The sequence below is a fragment of the Homo sapiens genome, chromosome 15 (genome assembly GCF_000001405.40).
Source record: "Homo sapiens chromosome 15, GRCh38.p14 Primary Assembly".
Taxonomy (NCBI): domain Eukaryota; kingdom Metazoa; phylum Chordata; class Mammalia; order Primates; family Hominidae; genus Homo; species Homo sapiens.
In genome coordinates, this window is record NC_000015.10 from 36,105,373 (window position 1) to 36,120,984 (window position 15,612).

At 37.1% G+C, this 15,612-nt stretch overlaps 1 long non-coding RNA gene across 1 annotated transcript in view; it reads left to right on the forward strand.

Moving 5' to 3' along the window:
- Window positions 1-1,495: 1,495 nt before the first annotated feature.
- LOC102724214 (uncharacterized) overlaps window positions 1,496-15,612 on the forward strand; it is a 51,115-nt gene continuing 36,998 nt past the window's right edge. The window contains exons 1-2 of the long non-coding RNA XR_932105.3: window positions 1,496-1,826; window positions 3,739-3,818. This is a non-coding gene — a long non-coding RNA (uncharacterized LOC102724214). The remainder of the gene's footprint in view (window positions 1,827-3,738; window positions 3,819-15,612) is intronic.

Below are 15,612 nucleotides of genomic sequence, written 5' to 3' on the forward strand. Positions count from 1 at the left end.
AAATCTTAACAATGTTAATTATCCCCAAAATGTTCTATGACTTCATTGCAAATTCCAATCAAGAGTTATAAAGAAACCTGGCCAGCTGATTCTAAAATGTATATTAAAGGACAAAGTGTACCAAGACATGCCTAAAAGAATAAATTTGGGGAAATTGTCTTATCATATCTCATGGCTTCTCATAGACTACTGTACTGAAGATAGGGCAGCATTGGCACAGGAATCAAAAAACTGATTAATGGAATAGAAACCCCAGAAACAGCCGCTGCATATGTGCGGGAACTGTTCTACCCCAACATCGCCAGCAAGAGTGTCCTTGCTTCTCATTGGTTCTCCTGGACCAATCACTGTGGCCTGCAGCACTGGGCATCTGATGCCTTAGGTATCACAGCACCACCCAAGGGCTAGAGACGGGTCAGTTTCAATTAAACCACAAGGACTGAGACTCTTAGAATTTCTAAACCAGTCTTGAGTGTACTATAAAAGACAGAATCAAACGCCCAATTTATGCAGTTAGATAACATATTTAGCTTTTCAGCCTAGTTAAGTATTTTAGCTGGTACTGATTGAAGAGAGGACTGCATCTGTTCCAGCAGGGAGCAGACACACGTGAGAGTTTGATAAAAGCTTCTTGCTGTAGAATTGTCCCACTATCAATTATCCAATAAAATAGGATATCAAATGTCATCTGTAGATATAAATTTGCGAAGCCTAAAAATTCAAGGCAACCATTTATTTATGAAGCAGGCATAGCATTTTGTAAGAACAACAGTTACAATATGTTATAAGAGCCTCTATCGATATGTAAGAAATTAGAAATTAAAATAGCTTATGTTAAAGTGTTGTGAATGAAGGATAATAAATACAAAGCCCCTATCTTTCTTTCATCTTCCAACTTACTAATTGAAAAAGACACAAATAGTGAAACAATTGGAAAACAATACAGGACAAGAAAAAAAAATCACATCATTAATGTCCATTACATATTTCTACTCATTTAACTTCTCTGTTCCAGAAAAATTTTATGCATAAAATAAAACAAAACCTTTTGTTCTAGCTTGGCCACAGTAAACAACTGAGTGTGATCAAGTTGTGAGAACAGTCTAACCTCAGCTCATGATTCCCAGAAGCTTCCAAACTGATTGAAAGTGGCCTGTTCAACATTTAATGAAATTCACATTTCTGAGACTCATTAGTTTGGATCTCTGGCTTTGCCTGATGGGTTAAATCAGAACATTTTATGTTAGTTAACTATTGCTGGCAAAGAGGAGAGAAAGAGGTAGGATAATACACTAAACTAAACAGCAGAATTCAAAGTGATTTCAGGAGTAACGGATCAATGGGAACCCAGTGAACCAAACCTGGATTTGAATCTCCTACAGACCTAAAGATTCCCCATGCTGCACATAACCGAGGCTGGGCTGGGGTTAACAGTAGTCTCCTTGGCTTGAACCTCCACATCACTAACATTCTTTCCACAGTTGTTCATCACCACTTCTATGTCCTTCTATAGATATGTTCCTAATGTTGGACTTTAGGAACTGCAGTGGCAGACAGCAACTTTTATTTTCCCCAGCCACCATAGCCCCACTCAATATGACATTTAGACAGATGAGCCAGCAATACAGTAGTTACATGTGTCTGGGATTTGTTTTTTAAATTATATGTACCGCTTTTAATAGCCTGATTACAGCTGTTCAGTAAGTGATGCCTCTAGACTGAAGAGGACCGAAATGAGAAGCAGGCCAGCTAAGAGGGCTGGGAGCAGCACGTTCCCCTTGTTATTGCCAGCTAGTGGGGAGAGAACATATGGCCACTTTACAAAGGTGAGTTACCAGCAAACAAGCAGGAATCCCAGCCAAATAGCTCCTAGCCTGATTTCTTCGTTTACATTCATTTATGTTATCCTCTGTCAATTTTTCTTCTCTCTTATGTTGGATTACCTTTTTTAAAAAAAAAAGAATTGGGGCTGAGAATATATAAAGAGAAACTTTTGCAAGCAGGAAAATAACTTAGGAAAGAAATTATCAGGGTGACACACTACCTGCAACTTATAAATAATGAAGAACTGGTTGGTGCAATTAAAGAATGTTATATTTGACACTAGAACAGGCAGAACTTATCTGAAATTTTCGTTCTAATGCTTGGTAGCTAAGGGGTCTTGTACAGGTCATGGAACCTCACTTTGTCTAAGAATCTCTAGCTACAAAAGGAGCAAGGGCCATGTTCAAGTTTGCCGTAGGAATTAAGTAAAATAGCGGATGTAGCCAGGTCAGCATTATACCTACAGATGGCATGTAGTAGGTACTCAAGGAATTACTATTATTGTTATTAATCTTCCAATGGCATTATTTTGCTTTCCTAGAAATAACATAGAACCAGGGAGAATTTTGATTGAAGCTAAGAGGCCGAAAATGGCCGCAAATTATAGTTTTCTCATGTCTAAAATTGGGATATCTGTGAGGATTACACAAAATAATCTATGCAAAAAAAAAAACCCAGTAAAATTCCTGTTTCAAAGAGGTATTCAGCAAACAGATACAAATATTGCAACAAGATTCTGCAAAGTAAGTTTTACTATGTGTGAATGCATGATGTAGAAAGGGAAAAGGAATTTTGAGTAAAATCATAATGTGGAGAACCTTGCTAAGAAGAATTTAACTGTATTTTCTTCATTTCCTCTAATCATTTTCAAGAAAAGGAAAAGATAAATATTGTATCTAGTATCTTCCCTTGTTATTTAGGATTCTGGCTTCCTTTTAGATTTTAAAAAAAACCTCATAGGCAAAATAATAAAAAATAAAAATATTGTATTTATTATATCATTCAGGATTGCTTCCAAGTACACACATGCACACACATACACAAGGTTGCTGCCAAGTACACACACCACATGCACACACATTACAAGGTAAAATATAAAAAGCGGTGAAGAAGTCAGAGTAAAAGAAAAATTAGAGTAGAAAAAATATGACATGACCAAAAGTGAAATTAACTGATGAAATGCACTCTGTAAAGTTTTGTAAACTGGCTAGAGGGAGGCCATGGGTTTCATACTAGGCTTGCATTATAATGAAGTCAGCTAGATTTTTAACTATTCGGAGTGATTCTTGCCTCTTGCATGCTTGCTATCCCTAGAGTTTGAGTTTATACTGGAAGCACTAAAACAAATATCAGTATCTTTCCAATACAGGACACAATCTACAGAATTTCTGTTCATTTGGTTGAAATCTTCATGGTGCTTAGTTAAAACTATTCTGCATCCATTAGAAAAGTGAGGCTGAAATGCATATTCAGATGATGATCATAGTCAGAATGGGAGACACAGGGGACCAGCTGAGCATGGCTGGCTAGAGACAATACCCCATCTGCCGCTCTGCTCCAGCCAGTCTCAGGAGCCCTAGGGGAGCCTGGGCTGGTGTGGCCAGCGTTTATTCATCAATCTCTTTATTTCTGGGGATTACTCAATTGAGCTTCTCAGATCTGCTTCTTTTACTGGGGAATGGGTGTAATAAAAGTATATATGTAAGTAGATACATGAGATGATGACAAACATCCCAAACAGAAGAACAAACTGGTAGCTCTGCATAAAAAAGAGATGCTAGATAAAAACAGTTTTCAAGGATGCTCCCTTATTTGACAAAATTACCATTGAGACTGCTATGAAGAGCATGCGTTCGTAGACAGCTTTTAAGTTTTAAAATGCTTTCATTTATGGGGATTACCAAATTTTTCCAGTTAAGAATCACAAACAGCAGACAAGAATGAATGATTAATGCTGGAGTTCCTGGAGTATGGGCCAAAGAAGTTCCCCCAAAGTAAGATTTTTTTTTGAAATTTTACATTTTATCTTAATGATTCACACAAAATCCATGATATAACTATCTTTATTTTAATAAAAAAGCCTAATTCAAAACTGTTTCGACTATCTTACAAAATCTTATAGTAAAATTGATGCTCTAGGAAGATGCAATGTTGGTATCCCATGGTTTCAAGGACCTTGCAACCAGGAGTATGTGTACTTCATTGGAGGGGCAGGGAGCTACACATATTCCTCCAAATCTCATTATAGCCTTTAAGTGGAAGATGAATAACGAATATTCTTGTTCTCATTTAGCAGATACAGAAAATTAAGCTCAAAGAAATAAAATGCCTAATTCCCACTTCTAGTTAGTGAGGTCCTTGGGACTAAAATCAGCTCCATTTAACTTCCTGGCTTTGCCCCATTTGGAATCTCCAAATTCAGCTTCTATGAATCTTCAGTTCAGACTTTGTGTGAATGTTTTTAGAACTTTAGGTCATCTTCCAAATTTTGGAGATGAAAAATGCATCTAAAGAATCTCAAGATGTGAGATAGTTTTGCTGATGCTGATTACGTTTTACATTGTTTTATTTGTTTCTGATTGAGGGTAACCAACCTATTGCATGTCATGAATTTGATGTGCTAAGTTCTGCCTCACCATATATTTGCTCTCTGATGATTATGTTCACAAGCATCTATGCAAAGGAATAACCTTCTTTCTCTTTCATGTTGCAGTGACTGTGTTATAGATGGTTGACAATAGGGGATGAAAATTGCCCCTACTCTTTGAGATGACTGGTATTGAATGGAGCAGTCTTTGAAAGGCACCAACCCTTCCTAACTGATGGTGGTCTCTTGAAAGAGGCTCTTCCAAATTTGTCTTCTGAAAGTGTTGTGGTTGGGGACAGTTCATAACCCTTTCTAATAGAGAGGATGGATTAGTTTTGACTCACTCTGTGTAAGAAGCTTGGTTGTGGTCCAGCTGGCAAGGTCATAAAGCAAAGTAATTACTTGAAAGTAAAAGGAAAAGATAAATATTGTATCTAGTATCCTCCCTTGTTATTTAGGATTCTGGCTTTCTCTTGGATTAAAAAAAAAAAAAAACAACTCATCTTTTTAGGGTCAAGAAAAAATTTCCATGGTATCCCAATGGAAAAATCCCACTTAACAGTGATTGTGGTATTAATAGTGGTATTCTTTATTTTCTTTGGAACGCCTTTATCTGAATCATATTAATTAACTTAGTGCCAGAGTCCCAGAATCCACAAGGAATAGTATGTAAGACAAGTTAAAACATGTAACTATGCAAAATGTGAAGCACAGTTCATTTCTTAAGACAACTGCTATTTAAATCATATGATATATCACCTCTATATCTTCTATGGTGATGAACGGCTAGAGAATATGTCACTGGCAAATAAATGTACATAAGTAGAATAAGTATACAAAAGATTGAGTTGACATTGTAGTATGCAATATTTTTATGGTTTTCAAAGGAGCAGAAGGGCAAAAGAATAGCTCAAATCTAAAAACACATTAGTTACATGACCTAATTCTTTTTGTAAATGTTCTGAGATTAGGGACTAAATAAAAATTTATAACTGTCAGAAGTGAGCCAAAAGGTTTCATGACTTGTTTAAAACACTCATCATAGGTTTATCTAACAAATAATGTTATAATAGGCTTCGTCATACACTGCTGAGAAGTTTAGAATTTGGTGAAACTAAGAGAAGTTAGAAAAATGTAGGGCACTAATGCTAAAATGCTTTTAATGTATCAATTTTCCTCTCAATGATTAATCTTCTCCTAGTTTTTTAGGATTAAAAATTAAGAGTCATCTTCATATGTGAAATAACTCATCCAAACTATATAGTTCCAACAAAAATGCTTCCTAGAAAAACAGACCTCTAGGAAAATACACATCTCCATTTTTAAATTGCTCTTAGTAATTCACTGTAATTCAGCCTATGAAAACCTTTTCAGTGGTGGGCTCTACTTAGCAGGCACAAAGCTGGAGAAGGACACCACTTCACCCACAGGTGTTAGGCAAAGGGATTGATTGCTGGGTCAGAGCTACTCAAAGTAGGATTTTAGAGGGCATAAACCTGTATGTATTTGACCGTTTAACAACATGGCAGTTAGCTATACTTCTGCATAGAACTTAGAATCTGGGATATAAATATATATTTTCTATACAGTTCTACACCTTTGCTACTCAGTTTTAAAAGTTTGTGATCTTTCAGAAATCAAGCAAGGACGGTCCCTGACTTAGGATGGTACAACTTATGATTTTTCACCTCCATGATGGTGCAGAAATGATGTGCGTCCAGTAGAAATCTACTTTGAGTACCCACACAACCATTCCGTTTTTTTTACTTTCAGTACAATATTCAATAAATTACACGAGATAGTCAACATATTATTATAAAATAGGATTGGTATTAGATAATTTTGCCCCACTGTAGGCTAATGAAAGTCTTCTGAGCGCATTTAACATAATCTAGGCTGAGCTATGATGTTTAGCAGGTTAGGAGTATTAAGTGCATTTTGATATATGGTATTTTCAACTTAGGATGGGTTTATTAGGATGTAACCCCATCATAAGTCAAGGATCATCTGTATATGTCCCACAGTTAACATACCTTCCAGTACAATAATACTATAGGAAGAGCATGCTGGGGATTATATGGAAACTATTTGGCAATGGACACAGCATAGGCAGTGACCAATGATGAAAAATGCCTTTTGCGGTTCAAGTCCAGGCAGCCCTTTGCTGGTCCAAGCTTCAGTCCTTTAGTTTCTGGATTTTCTCATGGGAGACATGCTGGTCTTAAACAGTAAAGGCTGTGAGGGTTTCAGGCAAGGCAGTGGCTAATTTTTGAGTATACAATAATATTTCAATATTTTAACTTCTAGTACAGTTGTATCACTTCACGCCATGGAATATTACCCGTGGTATTATGTAGTAATATCACTGAGAGGTTAATTTGGTTTCTGTGGCTGCTGTTGGAATCTAATTTTAAGTTTTCCTGGAGAAAAGAATTCTGAGTTCTTTTTCCTATTTATAACTTTTATTTTACTATTACAAATCAGTTTGAAACACAAACTGATTTTTACTTTGGACACCATCTGTGATATGATATTATACTGCCACCTGTGATTTATGCAAGAGGTGCATTTCTTCCTCTAACCTGAGGCAATAGAAAGGAAATACATTTTGGTTAATAATAATAATCTTTCTCAAGCTCTTCACCTAGCTAAATAATAACTGTCTACATAGCTTCTTAGACATGACTTCTCTACTTCACAAGCTTTAAAAATGAAGCATACATCTAGCTATTTAAGGTTTTCAAATTCCAGAGTCCACTCTAGCTTATGAGATTCTACTTAAATAAATAAGGCAAATATGCGGCTATGGTAGGAAAGGTCTGACCAAATGCAGAAGATGATCGGCAAAAGGTCTTGCAAGATTCTCCTACCTTTATTCAGGACCACATGTCTAACATTTAGCAATTGGCATTGCCTAGACCTGAACTGTCCAACACAATAGCCACTAGCCACATGTAGGGATTTAAATTCAAAGGCATACTTGATAAGATTAAGCAAAATTAAAAGTATAGTTCCTCAGTCACATATTTCAAGTGCTCACTTAGCAACCTATGGCAGGTGGCTAACATATCGGACAGCAGGGTAAAAGTTCTATTTTATTACAGACAGTCCTATTGGACACTCCTGGTCCAGAGGTTCATTACATCTCATTTTTATTTCTCTTAATAAAGATAAAAATATCTCATCTTTTCCTATCTCCAGAGGAGTGAGAAACAGGTTGGCGTATCATTTCAAAGTTATGTTTAGGTTTCTAAAAATGGTTATTGTCATGTTTTTCACTTGTGTGCTTTTTCTTCTTCTTTTTTTTTTTTTCTCCCCTGGTTGAGATGAAGTCTTGCTCTGTTGCCCAGGCTGGAGTGCAGTGACACGATCTCGGCTCACTGCAACCTCTGCCTCCTGGGTTCAAGCAATTCTCCTGCCTCAGCCTCCTGAGTAGCTGGGACTACAGGCGCCTGCCACCACACCCAGCTACTTTTTTTATTATTATTTTTAGTAGAAACGGGGTTTCACCATGTTGGCCAGGCTGGTCTCGAACTCCTGACCTCAAGTGATCTGCCCGCCCCTGCCTCTGTAACATGGATTTAATATTGAATATGTCATAATGTGGCTCTAAAAATTCATTTAGATACATTTCTATTAAAAATCTTAAGACATTGACTTTTTAATCACTCTCCTCGCTCCCTCCCCACCCCCAAATTAAGATTTGTCTTTATTCTTCTTAATTCTTTTTATTCTGGATAAAAACTAATATTCAGATAATTTTCTTATGTTGCCTAAATGTAGACTCACCTAGAACAAGGGATAGGCTTTTAAACTAAATTCAAGTTTTCCTCCACGGCATTCAGGAAAACTGGTTTGCAGGGGAAGACACCTGCAACATTCTCCTAGACAATACCTGAATGCTGAATAATTTGTTCTTGCCTCAGTGACCCTTGACTACACCACTCTGATGAAAAATAGGGAGAAAACTTTCACCCACTGTTTGAGCTACATGAGGCCCTGCTCAGGTGAGATCAGATGCTTCCTTGGATTGACTGATTCTTTTGGCATCATCTATTGATCTGTGAAGGAATGCTATTTGAACACCAGCCATATCTTAATTCTCCTATTGGGATCACCAGACAACACAAGTAGAACAGAGTCCTCCTTTTGCAATGATTTTATCAGCGCCCTCCGGTTCTATCACCTGCCATGAAAGGCGGTGCCTCTTAAGAAAAATTTCCAGGGTGTAAATTTAATCCATGTGAGTTTAGACTCTGGCAGACAGAACTGTAGATTAGGGTATGTCTTTAGAGTTTTGCCCTTGGCTGCGATAGGAATTTGCTGGAACTGGGCTGGGGATGTTGTTGAAAGGATGTTTTCTCCCAACTGGCTGACATTCAGTGTGCCTGCATGGTATTGATACAGTATTGGCATTGACAATGTCACTTCTAGCAGTCTCATTTTTTAGATGTTGATATTAAGGGTGCAAATTTTGTTTGTTTTTGCAGTGTTAGAGGAAAAGAATAAAAATTTCTTGATGCTTACAGTATACAGGATTTGGTATGCCAGGACAAATTCCTTAAGCTAATTTCCCCTTGAACATTTTGGAGTACTAATTTAAAAAATGGGTGTTGTAGATTTTTGTTGTTTGCATTAAGTTATATTTAAAATAAATATGCAAAGGTAAGAGAGAAATTGTATCAAGTGTACTGACTCAATTTCTGGAATGTAACTAGTCCAGATAATCCAGGCATTTTAATTCTATTGTGCTTTGTGAGTTTAAATTAAAAAAAATTATCATCTTCAAAGCTTTTTTGAATTCCCAGAAAATCTTTATTTTAGTCCTTCAGTTTTCTTTTTGAGCCAAGGATCATAGCCTCCCCTTACTGTTCCTGAAATATATCCATCAAGTCGTTTTTAGTATAATTGTGTTTACAGACAATGGTGAAGACAACTATTTAATCATATTTTCTCATGTTTTAAAAAGCAGATAAATTTAGCTTGTTAGACTCAAAAGGATAAACCACTGCCAACACATACATGTCCACAAATCAAATGCCCAATTCTGATGATCTCTCCTGCTGAAATTCTCACTTATAAATCTGTTTTCTATTCTTGCACTATCTTTTTCCTGGACCATTATGATAATCTTGTAAGAATTCTCTCTATGTTCCTATATTCATTTGTCTATGAAATTCATCTGCCTAAAATATAATTCTAATTATATTGCAACAGAGGTCCCTGACTGAAAGTTTAAATGGTTAAGTATTGTGCAAATCTCTTAGTCTGGAGGTCAGATTCAAAGCTCCCCATGGTCTGTCCTCAAATAGCTTTTCTTGTCTTAGCTCTCCCTGCTCCTTGAGGGTAGGCCTGCATTTTATCCAGCCTTAATTCACGAGTGCCACATAACATTGCCTGGCACAGAGGTGGTGCTCAAGAAAACATGTTGAAATTTCATGTGCTACCTATAGCTATTGATTGAAAAAGATCCCAACAGCCTCCCCTCCCATTCTCATATCTTTGCTTACATTGCCCTCCATACCTAAAATGACATCTTTTCCTCCATCTCCTCTTTCCATCTTACAACTCACTCTTTTAAGACACATTTTAAATGTTTTCTTTTCCAGAAATCTTCTCTGATATTAAAACTGAATATGCTCTCTCCTCAGAATCTGATATCCTTTTTAGAACACTTATTGCACATACCACATTCTGCATTATGTTATAGCTACTTGTCGATGTGTCTTAATTACCCTACTAGATTCTAAGTATTTTGGGGACTAGAAATTGTGTTATAATCATTTTCTGCCTTATCCACAGTGTCTAATATAATATTATTAATCAGGCAGTAAGCAAACTCTGTCCCATTTTGAGCACAAATTGTGTAAGTCATTTATTATGTAATAGATAACCTAAAAACATCAAAAGAAACCATATCTTGCACACATAGATAGTGTCTTTCAAACTTTTATGCCCACATCACAATATTTCTGGTTTAATAATACCTTAAATCAAGCCATTTATAAAGATATTAAATACATACAAATTAGCTTAGATGAACCAAAATGACAAATTGTTTTTCATATAAAAATTGATCAAATTCAACCTAAGAAAATAATCTATACCCAATTAATTCCTGATAATGTAGGTAGAAATTTCATTTAATCATTAATTGTTCCTTGCTGGGAAATGATGTTTTTCCTCCAGTTACTCAGAGTCAGGCTCTCTCCACCTCCGTGTCCTTTCTAGGGGTTACATTCTTGACCTCCCTGACTAGTGGTGGGTCTTTCCTATGCCCTCGGGGTTTACTTATCAGCCAACTGATGTTCTGCATGGACTTTTTGTTCTTAACTTTATAACATGTGAATTTGTAGCTTCTCTTTGTCACAGGTTTTGGCTATTTCTCTTCACAATGAACAACTCATGGATTAACAACTTTACTTTTGAGAAGAGTTAAATTCCAGACATTCTATTTGGAGGGAAGGCAATTCCAGAGAATAAACTCTCCTTCCTCTATTGTATTAACCCGTCTTCCACTTAATACCAGATATACAAAGTGATGAGTAACTATGTAACACACTGCCCTTATAGTTGAGAACTCAGGGGCTGTAGTCAGGTGGCACTGGATTCAAATGCTGATTCTGCCACATACTGGCCGAAGGACTTTGGTCACATTACTTAACTTCTCAGAGCTTTACAGGTGGGAACAAGAGTACCTGAGTTCATGTATGTAAAACACTTAACTCCATACCTGGCAGGGAGTAGACATTCAATAAATGGTAGTTATTTGCTATTATATGTATAAAGTTGGGTTTGCAGCAAGGTGGAAAGAACATTCCAGATCAGGAACCAAAAGCTACAGAGATTAAAGGGACCAGAATGCAAATAAGGATGAACAGAGTCTAGTCAACCTGAACTTTGCCTCCCAGGGGACTATCGGCAATGTCTAGAGACATTTTTTGGTTGTCACAAGAGAGAGAGTGCCACTGGCCTCTGTTGGGTAGAAGGCAGATTCTGCTAAACATTCTGCAATGCACAAGACAGCCCCCGACAACAAAAAATGACTCAAAGTGTCAATAGTACCAACACTGAGAAACTCTGAATTAGATGGATTTTCAAGGAATATACAGTTGGTTATGTCTTATACTTCTTTGTACACTCAAAGATTTATACAAAGTAAATATGTATTCATTAATTATTGATTTATTGATATGGAAAAATTAGATCAGCATAAGATGTATTTTCCCTCAAGATTTTTCCAGGGTATGTATGCATTGGCAGCATTTACTCTGCTTCTGGTTCTGGAAATTGGCAATTTTGAAAAAAAAAGACCATGTCAGTAGCCCTTTTTCTCCCTTAAGTGCAAAACCAAATTGTTACTCTAATTTATTCAACAGATTTACATGAAAAAAAATCTTAATTTTAGGGATCTTACAAAGAATGCCATGATCTTAATTCCATTGATGAAAAGCAAAAAAAAAAAAAAAAAAAAAAAAAAAAAAAAAGATTCAGAATGTCAGTTTGCCCTTAAGTGATGTATTAGCTACAAGAAATCTCATTACAATTTGATGCCTGAATCCCTTGAAGGAAAGATCTTATATTGTGAAGGTAGCATATGTGTCATGTGATGTAAGTACTTACTTTTATTGAATAGGTAAGTATATAATAGCTAAAAGCCCCATAAATCAGCTAAATGTTCTCTCAATTTACAGAGAATATTTGATCAGTGAACATTGCTGTCTAGTGAACGACGGGGAGGAAAAGGAGACACGAAATGCAATAGAGATGGATATGATGACTAATTCCTTTCGATTCAGAGTATCATATTTCAAGTCACAGATGGACAACCTGCACTGTACTGTCCATAGACTGCCCAGGCAATTTTAAAAATTTAAGACTTGCATGTTAGATGTGGTGAATGGGGAGTTACATGCATATAGCCAAATCACTCCAGAGGGACATCCAAAAATAACGGGAGAGGATAGATGCTGCGTAGATATATTCAAGGAAGTCATATTTCATTGGACTTTTTATTTAAGCAAATTGAATGGTGATGAAAGAAAAAAGCAACTATATGGTCAATATCTGTCAGAGAGCCTTGTTCATCAGCAAGGCAAGGAAATACTCTGTCTGGTAGCTAGGAATGAAGGATAAATTTAAATGGCCCAGAAGGTAACCTGATATTTGCCTAGAGGTCAGAAGCATGACTGGGATTATTTTCCTTTTTTTCATAGAAAAAGGAAGGCAGCAATTTCTTCCCAACCATGGACATTCTTCAGTCCCTTTCTCTGCATCTTTTTACTTTCTAACATTGACAGGTTCTCATGCATTGAAATGTTCATCCTTTGACCTTATTTCCTTTAATAATTAGCACCTTACTTCTTTTCTATTTTCTGCTGCCAAATACTTGAATGAGAAATCTAAAGCTACTGCCTTCATTTTCTCATCAACCTCCTAACCCCTCTGCAATCTGGCTTTTATCCCCACACGGATACAACTTTCTTAGGCACAAGAGATCTTTTTTGGGGCAGCAGAAGTGTGCATTGTGGATAAAAACCTTGCACCTGGCATGAGATTTTAATTTAAATCCTTGCTTTTTTGCTTACTAGGATGTTACTTAAACATACCATGCCTCAGTTTCCTCACCTGAGTGGGACTAACAATGGGACCAACCTCATAGGTTGGTATCAAGATTAACAGACAAATTGTGTGTAAATTCCATATCATGCTGTATTAGTCAGGGTTCTCCAGAGAAACAGAACCAATAGGATGTGTGCATGTGTGTGTGTTTGCATGTGGATTTGTGTGGGGCAAGGGGAGAGAAAGTAAGGAATTGGCTCAAATGATTATGGAGGCTGGCAAGTCCCAAAGTGAGACAGCAAGCTGGAAACCCAGGAGGGCTGATGGTGTAGTTATAGTCTGCAGGAAAGTAGGCTTGAGTCCTCGAAAAAGCTGATGTTTCAGTTTGAGACCAAAGGCAGGAACTAGGGGAAGGGCAGCCTTTTAGTTCTATTCAGGTCTTTAACCCATTGGATAAAACCCACCCTCTTGAAGTCAAATTGTCCCTGTTTGCAGACGACATGATTGTATATCTAGAAAACCCCATTGTCTCAGCCCAAAATCTCCTTAAGCTGATAAGCAACTTCAGCAAAGTCTCAGGATACAAAATCAATGTACAAAAATCACAAGCATTCTTATACACCAACAACAGACAGAGAGCCAAATCATGAGTGAACTCCCATTCACAATTGCTTCAAACAGAATAAAATACCTAGGAATCCAACTTACAAGGGATATGAAGGACCTCTTCAAGGAGAACTACAAACCACTGCTCAAGGAAATAAAAGAGGATACAAACAAATGGAAGAACATTCCATGCTCATGGGTAGGAAGAATCAATATCATGAAAATGGCCATACTGCCCAAGGTAATTTACAGATTCAATGCCATCCCCATCAAGCTACCAATGACTTTCTTCACAGAATTGGAAAAAACTACTTTAAAGTTCATATGGAACCAAAAAAGAGCCTGCATCGCCAAGTCAATCCTAAGCCAAAAGAACAAAGCTGGAGGCATCACACTACCTGACTTCAAACTATACTACAAGGCTACAGTAACCAAAACAGCATGCTACTGGTACCAAAACAGAGATATAGATCAATGGAACAGAACAGAGCCCTCAGAAATAACACCGCATATCTACACCTATCTGATCTTTGACAAACCTGAGAAAAACAAGCAATGGGGAAAGGATTCCCTATTTAATAAATGGTGTGGGAAAACTGGCTAGCCATATGTAGAAAGCTGAAACTGGATCCCTTCCTTACACCTTATACAAAAATCAATTCAAGATGGATTAAAGACTTAAACGTTAGACCTAACACCATAAAAACCCTAGAAGAAAACCTAGGCATTACCATTCAGGACATAGGCATGGGCAAGGACTTCATGTCTAAAACACCAAAAGCCAACAAAAGACAAAATTGACAAATGGGATCTAATTAAACTAAAGAGCTTCTGCACAGCAAAAGAAACTACCATCAGAGTGAACAGGCAACCTACAAAATGGGAGAAAATTTTTGCAACCTACTCATCTGACAAAGGGCTAATATCCAGAATCTATAATGAACTCAAACAAATTTACAAGAAAAAAACAAAAAACCCCATCAAAAAGTGGGCGAAGGACATGAACAGACACTTCTCAAAAGAAGACATTTATACAGCCAAAAAACACATGAAAAAATGCTCATCATCACCGGCCATCAGAGAAATGCAAATCAAAACCACAATGAGATACCATCTCACACCAGTTAGAATGGCCATCATTAAAAAGTCAGGAAACAACAGGTGCTGGAGAGGATGTGGAGAAATAGGAACACTTTTACACTGTTGGTGGGACTGTAAACTAGTTCAACCATTGTGGAAGTCAGTGTGGCGATTCCTCAGGGATCTAGAACTGGAAATACCATTTGACCCAGCCATCCCATTCCTGGGTATATACCCAAAGAACTATAAATCATGCTGCTATAAAGACACAGGCACACGTATGTTTATTGCGGCATTATTCACAATAGCAAAGACTTGGAACCAACCCAAATGTCCAACAATGATAGACTGGATTAAGAAAATGTGGCACATATACACCATGGAATACTATGCAGCCATAAAAAATGATGAGTTCATGTCCTTTGTAGGGACATGGATGAAACTGGAAATCATCATTCTCAGTAAACTATCGCAAGAACAAAAAACCAAACACCGCATATTCTCACTCATAGGTGGGAATTGAACAATGAGATCACGTGGACACAGGAAGGGGAATATCACACTCTGGGGACTGTTGTGGGGTGGGGGGAGGGGGGAGGGATAGCATCGGGAGATATACCTAATGCTAGATGACGAGTTAGTGGGTGCAGCGCACCAGCATGGCACATGTATACATATGTAACTAACCTGCACAATGTGCACATGTACCCTAAAACTTAAAGTATAATAAAAAAAAAAAAAACCCACCCTCTTTAGGGTGAGCAATCTGCTTTGCTCTGTCTATAGATTCAAATGTTAATCTCATCCAAAAATACTCTCACAGACACACCCAGAATAATGTTTGATCAAATGTCTGAGCATCTGTGGCCCAGACAAGCTGATACATAAAAATCACAGTAGGTGTTCAATACTTAGTAAATGTTCAGTAAATATTCAATATTACCCAGAGGCCT